At 37.7% G+C, this 15,020-nt stretch overlaps 1 protein-coding gene across 12 annotated transcripts in view; it reads right to left on the reverse strand.

Annotated features, from left to right (window-relative positions):
* Nucleotides 1–15,020, reverse strand: part of CAB39L (calcium binding protein 39 like) — a 135,415-nt gene that overhangs the window by 52,881 nt on the left and 67,514 nt on the right. The gene's annotated exons all lie outside the window — the stretch shown is intronic.

Below are 15,020 nucleotides of genomic sequence, written 5' to 3' on the forward strand. Positions count from 1 at the left end.
AGACAGAAAAAAAGAGAGAGAAAGAGAAAGAAAAGAAAGAAAGAAAGAAAGAAAGAGAGAAAGTCCAATACCCTTCAATGACTTGACAGCAGCCAACTTTTCCAGTCTCATCAGCTAACTATCACTTCCAATTCCTACATCAAGTTCTATTAGTACCAAATTGCTGCACCACATATACACAACATTTTATGGTTCTATATCTTTGTTGATGCTCTTCCTTTTTTCATGAACTCTGTCATTCTTTAAGATTCAGTTCAGGAGTTTTCTCCCCTGGGATGAGTGCCCCTCTCTGTACTACAACCATGTCCTTTGCCACATCGATCAGTACCTCCTCTTTCCCACTACCTCTACCTCCACCTTCACAGCAGCAAATACTTACTGAGTGCTTACTCTGTGCCAGGCACTTATGCTAAGAGCTTTACAGGTATTATCCAATTTTCACAACAACCTTATTTTTTTAAATTTCATATTCTTTTTGTTATTTTTTTTCTGGCATGCATACAACCACCTTATAATATACATATTATAAAAAAGAAATTAAGGATGTATAATATATGTTTTATAAAATGTACAAATGTAAATATGTATATATACATATTATAAATAAGGAAATTAAGGATTATTGAGATTGCCTAGATCTCACTGTCCTGTCAGATACTGATAAATATCTACAAGCACTAACACCATCCAAGAAAACATGACCTCAACAACTGAACTAAATAAGACACCAGGGACCAATCCTGGGACAATAGAGATATATGACCTTTCAGACAGAGAATTCAAAATCACTATTTTGAGGAAAATCAAAGAAATTCAAAATAACACAGAGAAAGAATTCAGAATTCTATCATAAATTTAATACAGATTGAAATAATTAAAAATAATCAGGTAGAAATTCTAGAGTTGAAAATGCAATTGACATGCTGAAGAATGCATCAGAGCCTCTTAACAGAACTGATCAAGTAGAAGAAAGAATTAGTGAGCTTGCAGACAGGCTATTTGAAAACATGCAGTTAGAGGAGACAAAAGAAAAAAGAATAAAAAACAATGAAGAATGCCTACGAGATCTAGGAAATAGTCTAGAAAGGGCAAATCTAAGACTTACTGACCTTAAAGAGGAGGTAGAAAAAGAGATAGGGGTAGAAAACTTACTCTAAGAGATAATATCCGAGAACTTCCCAAACCTAGAGAAAGATATGAATATTCAAGTATAAGAAGGTTATAGAACACCAAGCAGATTTAAACCAAAGAAGACTACTTCAAAGCATTTAATAATCAAACTCCCAACATCAAAGAAAAAAAAATCCTAAAAGCAGCAGGTGAAAAGAAACAAATAACATACAATGGAGCTGCAATATATCTGGCAGCAGACTTTTCAGTGGAAACCTTACAGGCCAGGAGAGAGTGGCATGACATATTTAATGTGCTGAAGGAAACAAATCTTTTACCCTAGTATATCTGGCAAAAATACCCTTCAGGCATGAAGGAGAATTAAAGACTTTCCCAGACAAACAAAAGCTGAGGGATTTGATCAATACTAGACCCATCCTACAAGAAATGCTAAGGGTAGTTCTCCAACCTGAAAGAAAAGGATGTTAATGAGCAAGAAGAAATCATCTTAAGGTATAAAATCCACTGGAAACAGGAAGCACATAGAAAAACACAGAATAGTATAATACTGTAATGGTGGTGTGTAAACTACTCTTGTCTTAAGGAGAAAGACTAAATGATGAACCAACCAAAAATAATAACAACTTTTCAAGATATAAACAGTACAATAAGACATAAAGAGAAACAACGAAAAGTTAAAAAGCAGGGGGAGGAAGTTAAGGTGTAGAGTTCTTATTAGTTTTCTTTCTGTGCATTTCTTTATGTAATTAGTATTAAGTTGTCATCAATTTAAAACAATGGGCTATAAGATGGTATACGCATGCCTCATGGTAACCTCAAATATAAAAATACAATGGATACACAAAAAAATAAAAAACAAGAAATTAAAGCATAGTGCCAGAGAAAATCACATTCATTAAAAGGAAGATAGAAAGGAAGAGAAGAAGGAAGAGATGACTAAAAAACAACCAGAAAACAAATAACAAAATGGCAGGAGTAAGCCCCCACTTGTCAATAATAACATTGTATGTAAATGGACTAAAGTCTGCAATCAAAAGACATAAAGTGGCTACTTGGGAGGCTGAGGTGTAAGGATCACCTGAGCCCAGGAGGTCAATGGTTCAGTGAGCTGTGATTGTGCTACTACACTCCAGCCTGGATGACAGAGTGAGACCCTGTCTCAAAAAAAAAAAAAAGAAAAGAAAAAGAAAAAAGACACAGAATGGCTGAATGGATGAAAAAAAAACAAGACCCAAATGATCTGCTGCCTACAAGAAACACATCTCACCTATGAAGATACACATGGACTGAAAATAAAGACATGGAAAAAGATATTCCATGCTAATGAAAACAAACAAACAAAACCAAGCAGGAGTAGCTATACTTACATCAGACAAAACAGATTTCAAGACAAAAACTGTAAGAGGAGACAAAGAAAGTCATTATATAATAATAAAGGAGTCAGTTCAGCAAGAGGATTTAACAATTGTAAATATATATGCACCAAACACTAGAGCACCCAGATATGTAAAGCAAATATTATTAGAGCTAAAGTGAGAGACACATCCCAATACAACAATAGCAGATCTTAGACCTGGGACATGATAACTTTTACCACTGTTACTCAACATAATATTGGAAGTCTTAGCTAGAGCAATCAAACAAGAGAATGAAATGAAGGGCAAATATTATTAGAGCTAAAGTGAGAGACAGATCCCAATACAACAGTAGCAGATCTTAGATTTGGAGCATGACAACTTTTACCACTGTTATTCAACATAATATTGGAAGTCTTAGCCAGAGCAATCAAACAAGAGAATGAAATGAAGGGCATCCAAATTGGTAGGGAAGAAGTCAAATTATCCTTGTTTGCAGATGATAAAACCTTATATTTGGAAAAAACTAAAGACTCCACAAAAAAACTATTAGAATTGATGAACAAATTCAATAAAGTTGCAGGATACAAAAATCAACATACAAAAATCAGTAGCATTTCTATATGCTAACAGTGAACAATCTGAAGAAGAAATCAAAAAAGAAATCCCATTTATAATAGCAACAAATAAAATTAAATACCTAGAAATTAACTTAACCAAAGAAGTAAAAAAATCTCCATAATGAAAACTATAAAAAAATGGATGAAAGAAATTAAAAAGGACATGCAAAAAAGGAAAGATATTCCGTGTCCATGGATTGAAAGAAACAATATTGTTAAAATGTTCATACTACCCAACGTAATCTACAGGTTCAATGCAATCCCTATCAAAATACCAATGACATTCTTCATCGAAATAGAAAAAACCATCCTAAAATTTACATGGAACCACAAAAAACCCAGAATAGCCAAAACCATCATGAGCAAAAAGAACAAAACTGAAGAAATCACATGACTTGACTTTGAATTATACTACAGAGCTATATAGTAACCAAAACAGCATGATACTGGCATAAAAATAGACACACAGACCAATGGAACAGAACAAAGAATCCAGAAACAAATCTACACACCTACAGTGAACTCATTTTTTACAAAGGTGCTGAGAACATACATTGAGGGGAAAAGACAGTCTTCAACAAATAGTGCAGAGAAAACTGAATATCCACATGCAGAAGAATGAAATTAGACCCCTATCTCTTGTCACATACAGAAATCAAATCAAAATGGATTAAAGACTTATATCTAAGATCTATGAAACTATGAAGCTACTAAAAGAAAATATTGGGGAAACTCTCCAGGACATTGGTCTGGGCAGAAACTTCTTGAGCAAAACCCCACAAGCACAGGCAATCAAAGCAAAAATGGACAAATGGGACCACATCAAATTGAAAAGCTTCTGCACAGTGAAGGGTACAATCAACAAAGTGAAGAGAAAACCTACAGAACACAGGCCTTCTATGAAAAGGTGCTCAACATCACTGATTATCAGAGAAATGCAAATCAAAACTACAACGAGATATCCTCTCACGACAGTTAAAATGCCTTTCATGTAAACGTCAGGTAACAACTATTGCTGGTGAGGATGTGGGGAAAAGGAACCCCTCATATGCTGTTGGTAGGAATGTAAATTAGTACAACTACTATGGAGAATAATTTGGAGGTTCCTCAAAAAACTACAAATAGAGATACCATATGATTTAGCAATCCTACTCTTAGGTATATGCCCAAAAGAAAGGAAATCAGTATATCAAAGAGATATCTACACTCCCATATATGTTGCAGTATTGTTCACAATAGCCAAGATTTGGAAACAACCTAAATGTCCAAAAACAGATGAGAAAATGCGGATAAAGAAAATGTGGTACCCTATACACAATAAAGTACTATTCAGTCATAAAAAGGAATGAGATTCTGTCATTGCAACAACATGGATGGAACTGGAGGCCATTATGTTAAGTGAAATAAACCAGGCATAGAAAGACAAACATCAGATGTTCTCAGTTATTTGTGGGATCTAAAAATTAAAACAAGTGAACTCATGAAAATCAAGAATAGAAGCATGGTTACCAGAGGCTAGGAAGGGTAGCAGGGGAGTGTGTCAGGGTGAGATGGGGATGGTTAATGGGTACAAAAAACAATAGAAACAATGAATAAGATCTAGTAACACCAAGGATAAATGCTTGAGAGGATGGATACCCAATTTTCCATGATGTGGTTATTACACATTACATGCCTGTACTAAAATATCTCATATACACTACCTACTATGTACCCACAAAAATTAAAAAGAAAAAAAGAGAAAAAAGAAATAAATAAAAACCCATGCTCTCACGAGGTCAGGAGTTTGAGACCAGCATGGCCAAGATGGTGAAACCCCGTCTCTACTAAAAATACAAAAATTAGCTAGGCTTGGTGGCACGCACCTATAATCCCAGCTACTCAGGAGGCTGAGGCAGGGGAATCGCTTCAACCCAGGAGGCAGAGGCTGCAGTGAGCTGACATCGTGCCATTGCACTCCAGCCTGGGCAACAAGAGCGAAACTCTGTCTAAAAAAAAAAAAAAAAAAAAAAACCCATGCTCTCCAAACACCCTCCCTCCAAAACCCAACCCCCCATCAAAGCCCAAAAAACTTAATAGTATGAAAAACAAACAATCTGCCAGGCATGGTGGCTCACACATGTAATCCCAGCACTTTAGGAAGCTAAGGCAGGCAGATCACCAGAGGTCAGGAGTTCGAGACCAGCCTGACCAACGTGGTGAAACCTTGTCTCTACTAAAAATACAAAAATTAGCTGGGCGTGGTGGTGCATGCCTGTAATCCCAGCTACTCGGGAAGCTGAGACACAAGAATTGCTTGAGCCCTGGAATGAGCTGAGATTGTGCCACTGAATTCCAGCCTGGGCAACAGACCAAGATCCTGCCTCAAACAAACAAGCAATCTAATTAGAAAATGGATAAAAGGCTGGGTGGGGTGGCTCATGCCTATAATCCCAGGCAAGAAATTACTTTGGAAAGCTGAAGCAGGATTACTTGAGCCAGGAGTTTGAGAGTAGCCTGGGCAACATAGCAAGACCCCATCTCTACTTAAAAAATAAAATAAAAATAAACAAAACAGAGAAAATGGCTAAAAGACATGAAGACACATTTTACCAAAGAGGATATACAGATGGCAACAAGCACATAAAAGACGTTCAACATTGTTAGCCATTAGGGAAATGAAAATCAAAACCACAATGAAATATTATTACATGCCTATCAGAATGGCTAAAATAAAAAATAGCAACAACATCAAATGCTGGCAAGAATGAAGAGAAACTGTACTCATACATTGTAGTGGAAATGTAAAACAGTATAGCCAATCTGGAAAACACTTTAGCAGTTCCTGAAACAGCTAAACATGCAGCTAACCATAACAGCAATTGCGCTCTTGGCATCTATCACAGAGAAATGAAAACTATGTTCACACAAAAACCAATTAGTAGGTGAATCTTCAATTTAAAAGAATACTCCAAAATCAGTTGCTCTCATAATTTTAAAACACTAAAAAATGTTTATAGGCCGGGCACGGTGGCTCATGCCTGTAATTCTAGCACTTTGAGAGGCCAAGCCTGGAGGCTCAGTTGAACCCAGGAGTTTGAGACCAGTCTGGGCAACATGGTGAAACCCCATCTCTACAAAAAAATACAAAAATTAGCTGGGTGTAGTGGCACATGCCTATAGTCTCAGCTATTTGGGAGGCTTATGTGGGAGGATCACTTGAGCCTAGAAGGTGTAGGTGGAAGGTGTAGGTTGCAATAAGCTGAGATCATGCCACTGCACTCTAGCCTGGGTGACAGCGTGAGACCCTGTCTCAAAAAAAAAAAAAGGTTGAATTACATAAATTTTATTTATACTGATGTTAAAGACTATATTTGCTGTATAAAAAAAGATATAGCTGTAAGCATAAATTGATTTTAAAATGAAAGAAATCATCTGTTTCGTTCAAACCTTTCTAGACCCTGCAGTGTAATATTGCAGAATAAATATCAACCCTCTTTGAAATGTCATAGGAACATGTTTTTCATACTTCCCAGTGAAATGTCACAAGAACATTCCATACAGCATTCCAGTAGAAATGAAGCTCTGCAGAACTCTATCCAACTTTTACATAGAGGAAAACATTCTTCTAGTTCATTAGCAAATGTGTGCAAAGGCAAAGGAAGCCCCCTGTGGATAACAAAAGCAGGTTCTGCTACCAGGGACCGCTTCCCAAAACAGAGGAAAGGATTAGAATAGAAAGGATTACAGAACACTGAAACAGGTACAAGCTGGTGAATAATGATCTCTACATTACACGTTAATCTTTGTAGCTATCAATTTGTCATGCCAAATCTAACTGGAGTGAAACCTTAACTATTTCAAAACCAGTTTTTTGCAACCCGCAGGCTGCCAGATCTCAAGCCCTGGACTCAGAAGTGGCCAGAAAAAAAAGACAGAAAAACCCTAAAAATATATTTGATAATAAAGAAGCAACATCCAGAAATGGCCCAAAATGCCAAAAATTAGCTGGCAATTCTAAGGTTACATACAATGTAACCAATAAGATCCCAAACCTGAAGAAGCCCTTGTGTTTGCTGGCAAATTCAAAAAAGTCAGCTTTAACATGAAATGCTCCATAATTATTTGCTGAATGAATGAATTATATATATGGAAGTATTAACTCAAATCAAATAAGAAAAGAGAAAAGGAGGGAAGAAAGAGGTGGTGAACAGCAGTCACAGCAACCAGAATGATTGCTGAAAAAGAGCATCCCTCACAGATAGCATAGATGAGAAAAGGGAAATGAGAAAAGAAGGCGGAGACTAGAAAACACCCACTTCAAAACACAAGCCATTGACTTTTATATAGAATATATATAAAGAATTCTCAAAATTCAGCAACGAAATTAAAAAGGGGCAAAAGATATGAATAAATACTTCATAAAAGAAGAGATATGGTAGCAAAAATGTACATGAAAAGATGCTCAACATCATTAGTCATTAGAGAAATCCAAATTAAAATCACAATGAGATATCACAAACCCTTATTAGAATGGCTAAAACAATAAAACAAAACAAAAAGTTGACATTCCCCAACAGCCCTACTCCTAGGTATTTATCTAAGTGAAAGGAAAACCTATGTTCACACTAAATACTATACATAAATGGTTAACGGCAGCTTTATTTGTAATTGCTAGAAACTGGAAATATGTAAAATATCCCACAAGTGGGGAATGGATAAATGATCTGTGGTCCATCCATGCAATGGACTACTACTCAGCAATAAAAAGCAACAGACTCCTAATACATGGCAACGACATGGATGAATCTCAAATGCGTTATGCTGACAGAAGCCAGGCTCAAAAGGCTACATATATATGATTCTGTTTACCCAATCTTTTTGCAATGGTGAAAATATAAGGACTGAAAACTGATCAATGGTTGCCAGAGGCCGAGGACAGGAAAAGGAGATGATTACAAAGAGGCAAAGGAGATTTTTTTTTTTTTTTGAGACAAAGTCTTGCTCTGTCACCCAGGCTGAAGTGCAGTGGCATAATCTCGACTCACTGCAACCTCCACCTGCCAGGTTCAAGTGATTCTCCTGCCTCAACCTCCCGAGTAGCTGAGACTACAGGTGCACACCACCACACCCGGCTAATTTTTGTATTTTTAGTAGAGACAGGGTTTCACCATGTTGGCCAGGATGGTCTCGGGCTCCTGACCTCATGATCTGCCCACTTCGGCCTCCCAAAGTGCTGGGATTACAGGCGTGAGCCACCGTGCCCAGCCGGCATAGGAGAATTTTTTAGGGTGATGGAACTGTTGTTCTTCATTACAGAACTGTGCACTAAAAAGGGTGAATGTTACTATTTATAAATTGTATCATAATTTTTAAAAATGAAAATTATAGCCAGTGAAGTCAGGGACTTCTCTATTCTTGCTGGTGTGTTGCGGGGGAGTTGAGGTGGGTGGGAGCAAGTGGTTGTGCTGAATTTCAGTAGCAGAAGTGGATAGGCAGAACAGTCTACCGGGTGAGGGGTAGCCACTGAATGGATTAGTGAGGGATCTTGCTGGGGACTAAAATTCAAATTGGACTAATTTATAGATATTGGGAAAGATATAGGGAATGAAACTACAAGCTAGCTCAAAGTTGCTCTCAAAAAAATTTAAATATATTAAATTTATATATTACATGAAATCCATCTGTGGGAATTTATATGGGAGATTATCTCCCCCACTGCCCCAATATCTTTGTCATTCTATTTTCTCTGCAGGCTGGCTTCTTCTGTTTCTTTAGGCCACATAGTGAAAAATACGACCACTGATGGAAAAACTGCATTTACTATCTTTAGCACCTGGCTAAACACTGGGGTTCTGTCTCAGTTCTAGTTCCAGAATTCCTGCAGAAAGCCTCTGGCCCTCTTTTGGTCAGATATCCACTTGCAGATCATTCAGCTTTGTGTTGTCCAGGGTGTCATATCACCCAAAATGGTTGTTCCCATGGTAACCATGTGAGTGGAGAAGGAGGGAGCATTCCCCAGAAAGCAGAGGGAGTGGGCAGACACAACACTTTATACACAGCACAAGCAGTCTTCATCCTTATGCAGATTACATTCCTTAAAATGTCTGGTACGATCAAACTAATGGTCACTGTCTTAATTTTATTACAAACAATTAACAGGTTTCACATCTAATTAAGAGCCTGATGCCAAATGCCATTTTTAATCACCCATAAATTATATTCCTTTATAGGATAAAGGCCTTCTAAAGCTTATATTCATTAAGCTTTAGGGCAATAGGGTAATGATAACATAAAATGCCATTTTCTATGACATAGTATTTCCCTACCTGAGATTGTAAATTCTTTAATTTGTCCAGTGAGGGGCACAAAATATATACACAATCAAATAAAATCAAGACCAAACATAATTAAATAAAATCAATGGCTGACACGCATAGTAAGCATTTCAAATTGTTAAATGTATAATGTACAGTTAAAGCTGGTATTTTAAGGCTTTATGATTTCTGTTATATTTTTACAGTAATAAAACCAAAGGTAAAGAGCCATTTTTTTTTCTTTTTCTTTTTCTTTCTTTTTTTTTTTTTTTGAGATGGAGTTTCACTCTTATTGCCCAGGCAGAAGTGCAATGGTGCGATCTTGGCTCACTGCAACCTCCTCCTCCTGGGTTCAAGCGATTCTCCTGCCTCAGCCTCCCAAGTAGCTAGGATTACAGGTGCATGCCACCATGGCCACGGCTAATTTTTGTATTTTTAGTACAGATAGGGTTTTGCCACGTTGGCGAGGCTGGTCTCGAACTCCTGAATTTAGGTATCCCAAAATGCTGGGATTACAGACGTAAGCCACCACGCCTGGCCAAGGGCCACTTTAATCAGGTCCAGGGAATAGAAAAAGATTATTAGAGGATAAACATTTACAAAATGTAGGACTACAAAATGGCTTAATGAAAAGTGGAAAAGTTGATCCTGGAGTGTTTGTTTTGCTATTTTTTTTTCTTTTGAGACAGGGTCTCATTCTATTACCCAGGCTGGAGTGCAGTAGCACAATCTTGGCTCACTGTAGCCTCAACCACCTGGGCCCAGGTGATTCTTCCACCTTAGCCTCCTGAGTAGCTGGGACCACAGGCAGGCATACTCTGCTAATTTTTTTTATTTTTTGTAGAGACAGGGTTTTGCCATGTTGCCCAGGGGGGTCTCAAACTCCTGGGCTCAAGCAATCCTCCCACCTCAGTCTCCCAAAGTGCTGGGATTATAGGCGTGAGCCACTGCACTGGGCCTGTTTTGCTAATTTTTTTTAATGTAGCGAGAAATAATCATTAGGGATTAAGTTACCATAGAAGACAATTTTCTGCTTCTTTGAGCTGCTTATTCAGCCTGAACAGTTCACTTTGCATCCACCCTGGTTTTGCAAGGCACACCTGCCTTTAAAATGAATGTATCAGACCTTACAGGCAATACATTTTCCCTCCTTTGATCTCTTATCACGTTGTGTTTCAAAACATCAAAGAGTCTAAAGCTGTGTCTTGAATAGTAGCCAAACCTCAAAAAACACAGCTGAGTTTGATCCTGAGCCCATAAAAATCAGAAGCCTTGCAAACTCAGCCACAAATCATTTTTTGAACCTCATAATAGTGTGCTGAAATGGTTCTTTTCTGTCTGCAATTTTAAGGCTTAAAGCATTAGATAAAAATTTATAGCTACATAATGAGATTTTTATTTAACCCAAAGGCCGACCTCCTAACTAGCCATTATTCACATGATGATAGCCGGATCCTCCAGTATTGTCCCTACCCCAGTGGGCCACTTTCCTCTAGATTCCTGACAGAGAAGTAGGTTTGTCAAAGATTCCTGAGTCAGTCCCTGCCATCCAGTTTAAGTCAGTGCTGCCAGCCACCATCACTGCTGTCAGCTCAGGGTTCCAAACCCCTGCTCCCAGCGCCCTTCAACCCCCATTCATTGCCTTGTTTCCTGCAACTGCTTATTTTTTCAGCACTCAGTTTACTCCAAGTGTAGAAAACCACCCCTTCTTCACTCAACTTGTTTTTTGTTGTTGTTTTTGTTTTTGTTTTGTTTGGAGATGGAGTCTCGCTCTGTCGCCCAGTCTGGAGTTCAGTGGTGCAATCTCGGCTCACTGCAAGCTCCGCCTCCTGGGTTCACGCCATTCTCCTGCCTCAGCCTCCCTCCAGAGTAGCTGGGACTACAGGCGCCCGCCACCACGCCCGGCTAATTTTTATATTTTTAGTAGAGATGAGGTTTCACCGTGTTAGCTAGGATGGTCTCGATCTCCTGACCTTGTGATCCGCCCGCCTCGGCCTCCCAAAGTGCTGGGATTACAGGCATGAGCCACTGCGCCGGCCTCAACATGTATTATTAGTACAAAGTTCCTTTACAAAGGTTTAAGGTGAACAAAGGATAATCACAGCACAGTGCAGAAACACCTTCAAGCTGAAGTCTACAGATCACTTTTATGAAAGGTTCCTCAGTCTTCCTGATCATCTTTCTCCATGAACATCTTCCTTTTGTCATGGTTCTGGATACCTCTCTCTCCCTCCCTCCAAACCTTTCTCCTTTCTTCTATTTCCTACTCCTATCAACCTTGGCCAAAGAGGGCATTTCTCAAATTTCTGTTACTTTTCTCTGCCAAGGAAATCTAAGCTTTTTTCTTTCAGTCTTTTCCTTACAGACATTGCCTAGAGACTTCAGCCTTTCAAACTAACAAAAAAGCCAATCAAGGTATCTTCTAAACAAAAATTCACTTTTTTTCTCTGTAAGGAATGTGCCATTCTCCTAGGTTATCTGGCAAAAGCTGTAGTCCATCCTTAAAATAATAATTTTTCCTTTCTGTTATCAAAACATACCAGAAATTTTACAGTCAAATGACTGTTCTGCTATCCAAAGAAGCACCAGGAGAGGCTATTCACGTACTGAAATCATATAATCATCACCCCAAAGAGTTTGAATTATCTTCTAAACAATTTACTGATTCCTTCAGAAAAATGGCTCACTGGTATGTCCCAATACCTTCTTTTGGTCCAATTCTTTTACCTCTGCTTTGATATCTCATTCTCATTACTACATTCATTCAAACAATTCACAAATTAACATGCCACTAGGTGTGGCAAACACAGTCCTCGTACTCAAGGTAACACAGAAGTGGCTGTCCCAGTGCAAGCCATGAACCAAGAGACATGGGGGTGGGGGTTCTGTGTCGCTGGAGTAAGTCTGAAGTCAGAAGGAATTTTATCAAGCTGTCAGTAGCTTACATAGATACTTTAGGCTTGAGAAGGAGAGTTGCTGCCTGCAGGCTGATCATCCATGCCTCCAGTTCATAGAGATAACATAGTACATTTCTATAAGTAGGCTAATAATGCTAGGAATGCTGGCTGCCTCCTTCCTGAAAATACTGTATGTAGTTGGAATGCTTAAAATGGAACTGTACTAAACTTTCACTCCTTTTCATTCATTCATTTATTCATTCAACCAGGAAGTATATATTTTTCTACAGGCTAGAGAAGGATAACGGCTGCATCTATGGAGTATCACATTCACTTATAATTATGTTCTAGGTATGTGTCACGTCAATTGAATAAATAAAGTTAAGAATTGCCTATCTTATTATCACAATAACAAATCTTCATAATAGTTTTGAATCATCAGTTTAAAAACGTATTATATCTAGTATTTTATTCTGGAGGGAAGGCAAGTATATAATACATTTTATTTTAAAAATTAAAGTAATCCACAAGAGTAATCAATTTAACTCTGCATTTGAAGGCTTAATCTTCAGCTATATGGAAAATTCAAATGTTCAGAAAGATACTTCTTTTCTCCAAGGATTCCAGAGAATAAAAGTTTACTTGATAAAAATGTACAAGTCTATTTTAGGCAATTAAATGTCTTAATTCCAAAATAATTTTTAAATGAACTTCTTCTCAAAATTTTTAATTTATATTTGATGTGCCACATAAAAGAAGGGGAACTTGCATAACTGTTTCTTACATTCCACTTTTGTTATCTGAGCCAATGCCAAAGAAAGTTATAAGGCACCCAAAGTTTTTCTTTGGTATACTCCTCCCTAACTCCCCAATTCTTGGAAAGCACTTTGAACCTATGAGGTTCTGTGGCTGCTCAAAGCTTCTACAGGTCACTGAACCTGACGACATCTCATCCCTGACTCATTCTTCAAAACATAACCATCCTTAGTCATATTCCTTCTAGCACTCCACTGCAAATTGGGTTAATCTCATAAACTAACTCAAGCGTACTTATGAATTAATGACGACAGTAGCTTAATATGCTGCTGTTCTCAGAGAAACAAGCAAAACAACAGAAAATTTATAAAACTATACTACTATAAGAATAGGGAATCATTTTCCTATTTATGGTCACTGACCAACTAAATCTAAAAAAAATCAAGGGTTATAACAAAAACAAACCAGCTTACACTTAACTTTAGTTCCTGAGTTTGAGAAAAAGAGGAAATGAAAAAATACTACTACTTGACATTTGTATACAGTTTGCATTTATATTTAGTGTCCCTATATAACACAACATATATATGTATATATTTTTATTTAGTTTAATATTTAAAACAATGCAGTAAGTTCGTATTATTCCTATTTTATAGATGAGAAAACTTAAGCTCAAAGAGGTTAAGTTACTGACCATGAAAGAGCAGAGCTGGGACTCTAAACAATTCTAATTCCGAGTCAAGTGTGTTTTTCACTATGCCACAGCTTCTACAAGTGTTCATAATACCTAATTTTAAACTAAATAAAAGAAACAGAAAAGTATATACATACAGTAAGACTATACTTTAATTTCACATATAGCTGATTTTAAATCTAAGATGGAGACCTAAGATGGAGAGGGAGAGTAAGCAAGCCAAGCAAGAGGAAAAAGAAAAAGATTCTGAGCAAACTGTCGCAAAGACAAAAAACCAAACACTGCATGTTCTCATTCATAGGTGGGAATTGAACAATGAGAACACTGGGACACAGGAAGGGGAAAATCACACACCGGGGCCTGTTGTGGGGTCGGGGGAGCGGGGAGGGATAGCATAAGGAGATATACCTAATGTAAATGACGAGTTAATGGGTACAGCACACCAACATGGCACATGTATACATATGTAACAAACCTGCACGTTGTGCGCATGTACCCTAGAACTTAAAGTATAATTTAAAAAAATTGAAAAAAAAAAGAAAAAGATTATGGGTCAGAAAATGCCAAAGGCAGAGAAAGAGATAGAATAAGGAAGGGAAAGAAAGAAAAAGACAGCTGTAACTGAAAGGATGAGCTGAAGTCTGGGCCCTTCGGGGTCCCCACTTGGTCTTGCTTCTAGCCACAACTGGACTGCACGCCTCCTGGCTCTGCACTCCTCCTCCTCTGCTTCGGCTGCTAAAATCTTCCCTGGTCTAACTTGTGCAGAGAGCTGTAGGCTACTACTTCCACAGATCCCCAAAGCCCTGACCTGATCTTGGTCTAATCACAGTAATCACTGTCATTAGTTTTCCTTCCACTTATTCAGTGAACAAAACTAAAAGCTATTCACTTTGCATATCTCCTCTATCTCTGAGAATGAATGGAGACCCAAGTACCTACCTGATACGAACAAAATTCGTATTATGATAGAAACAAAGCAACAAAGCCAAACCAGGACTTCTGTCGCCTCAACAGTCAATGCCCAAACTTGTCTATGTATCCATTTCTCACTGAAAAATCACCACCTCTGAGTTACACAATAGATAATAAAATGACTAGACATATTCACCACTTACATTTCTAAGCTTTTGTTTTAGTTAGTCAGTTTATTATTTAGGTAAATTAGGTATAATTGCCTTCAAAAGGAGATAAGTATATTACTAGCACTTAACACATTTCTTAAATCATTGGTATAATATGTTCATTAAAAGAACTGTCTGAATTTGAAGCTC

The sequence above is a fragment of the Homo sapiens genome, chromosome 13, assembly GCF_000001405.40.
Source record: "Homo sapiens chromosome 13, GRCh38.p14 Primary Assembly".
Lineage (NCBI taxonomy): Eukaryota > Metazoa > Chordata > Mammalia > Primates > Hominidae > Homo > Homo sapiens.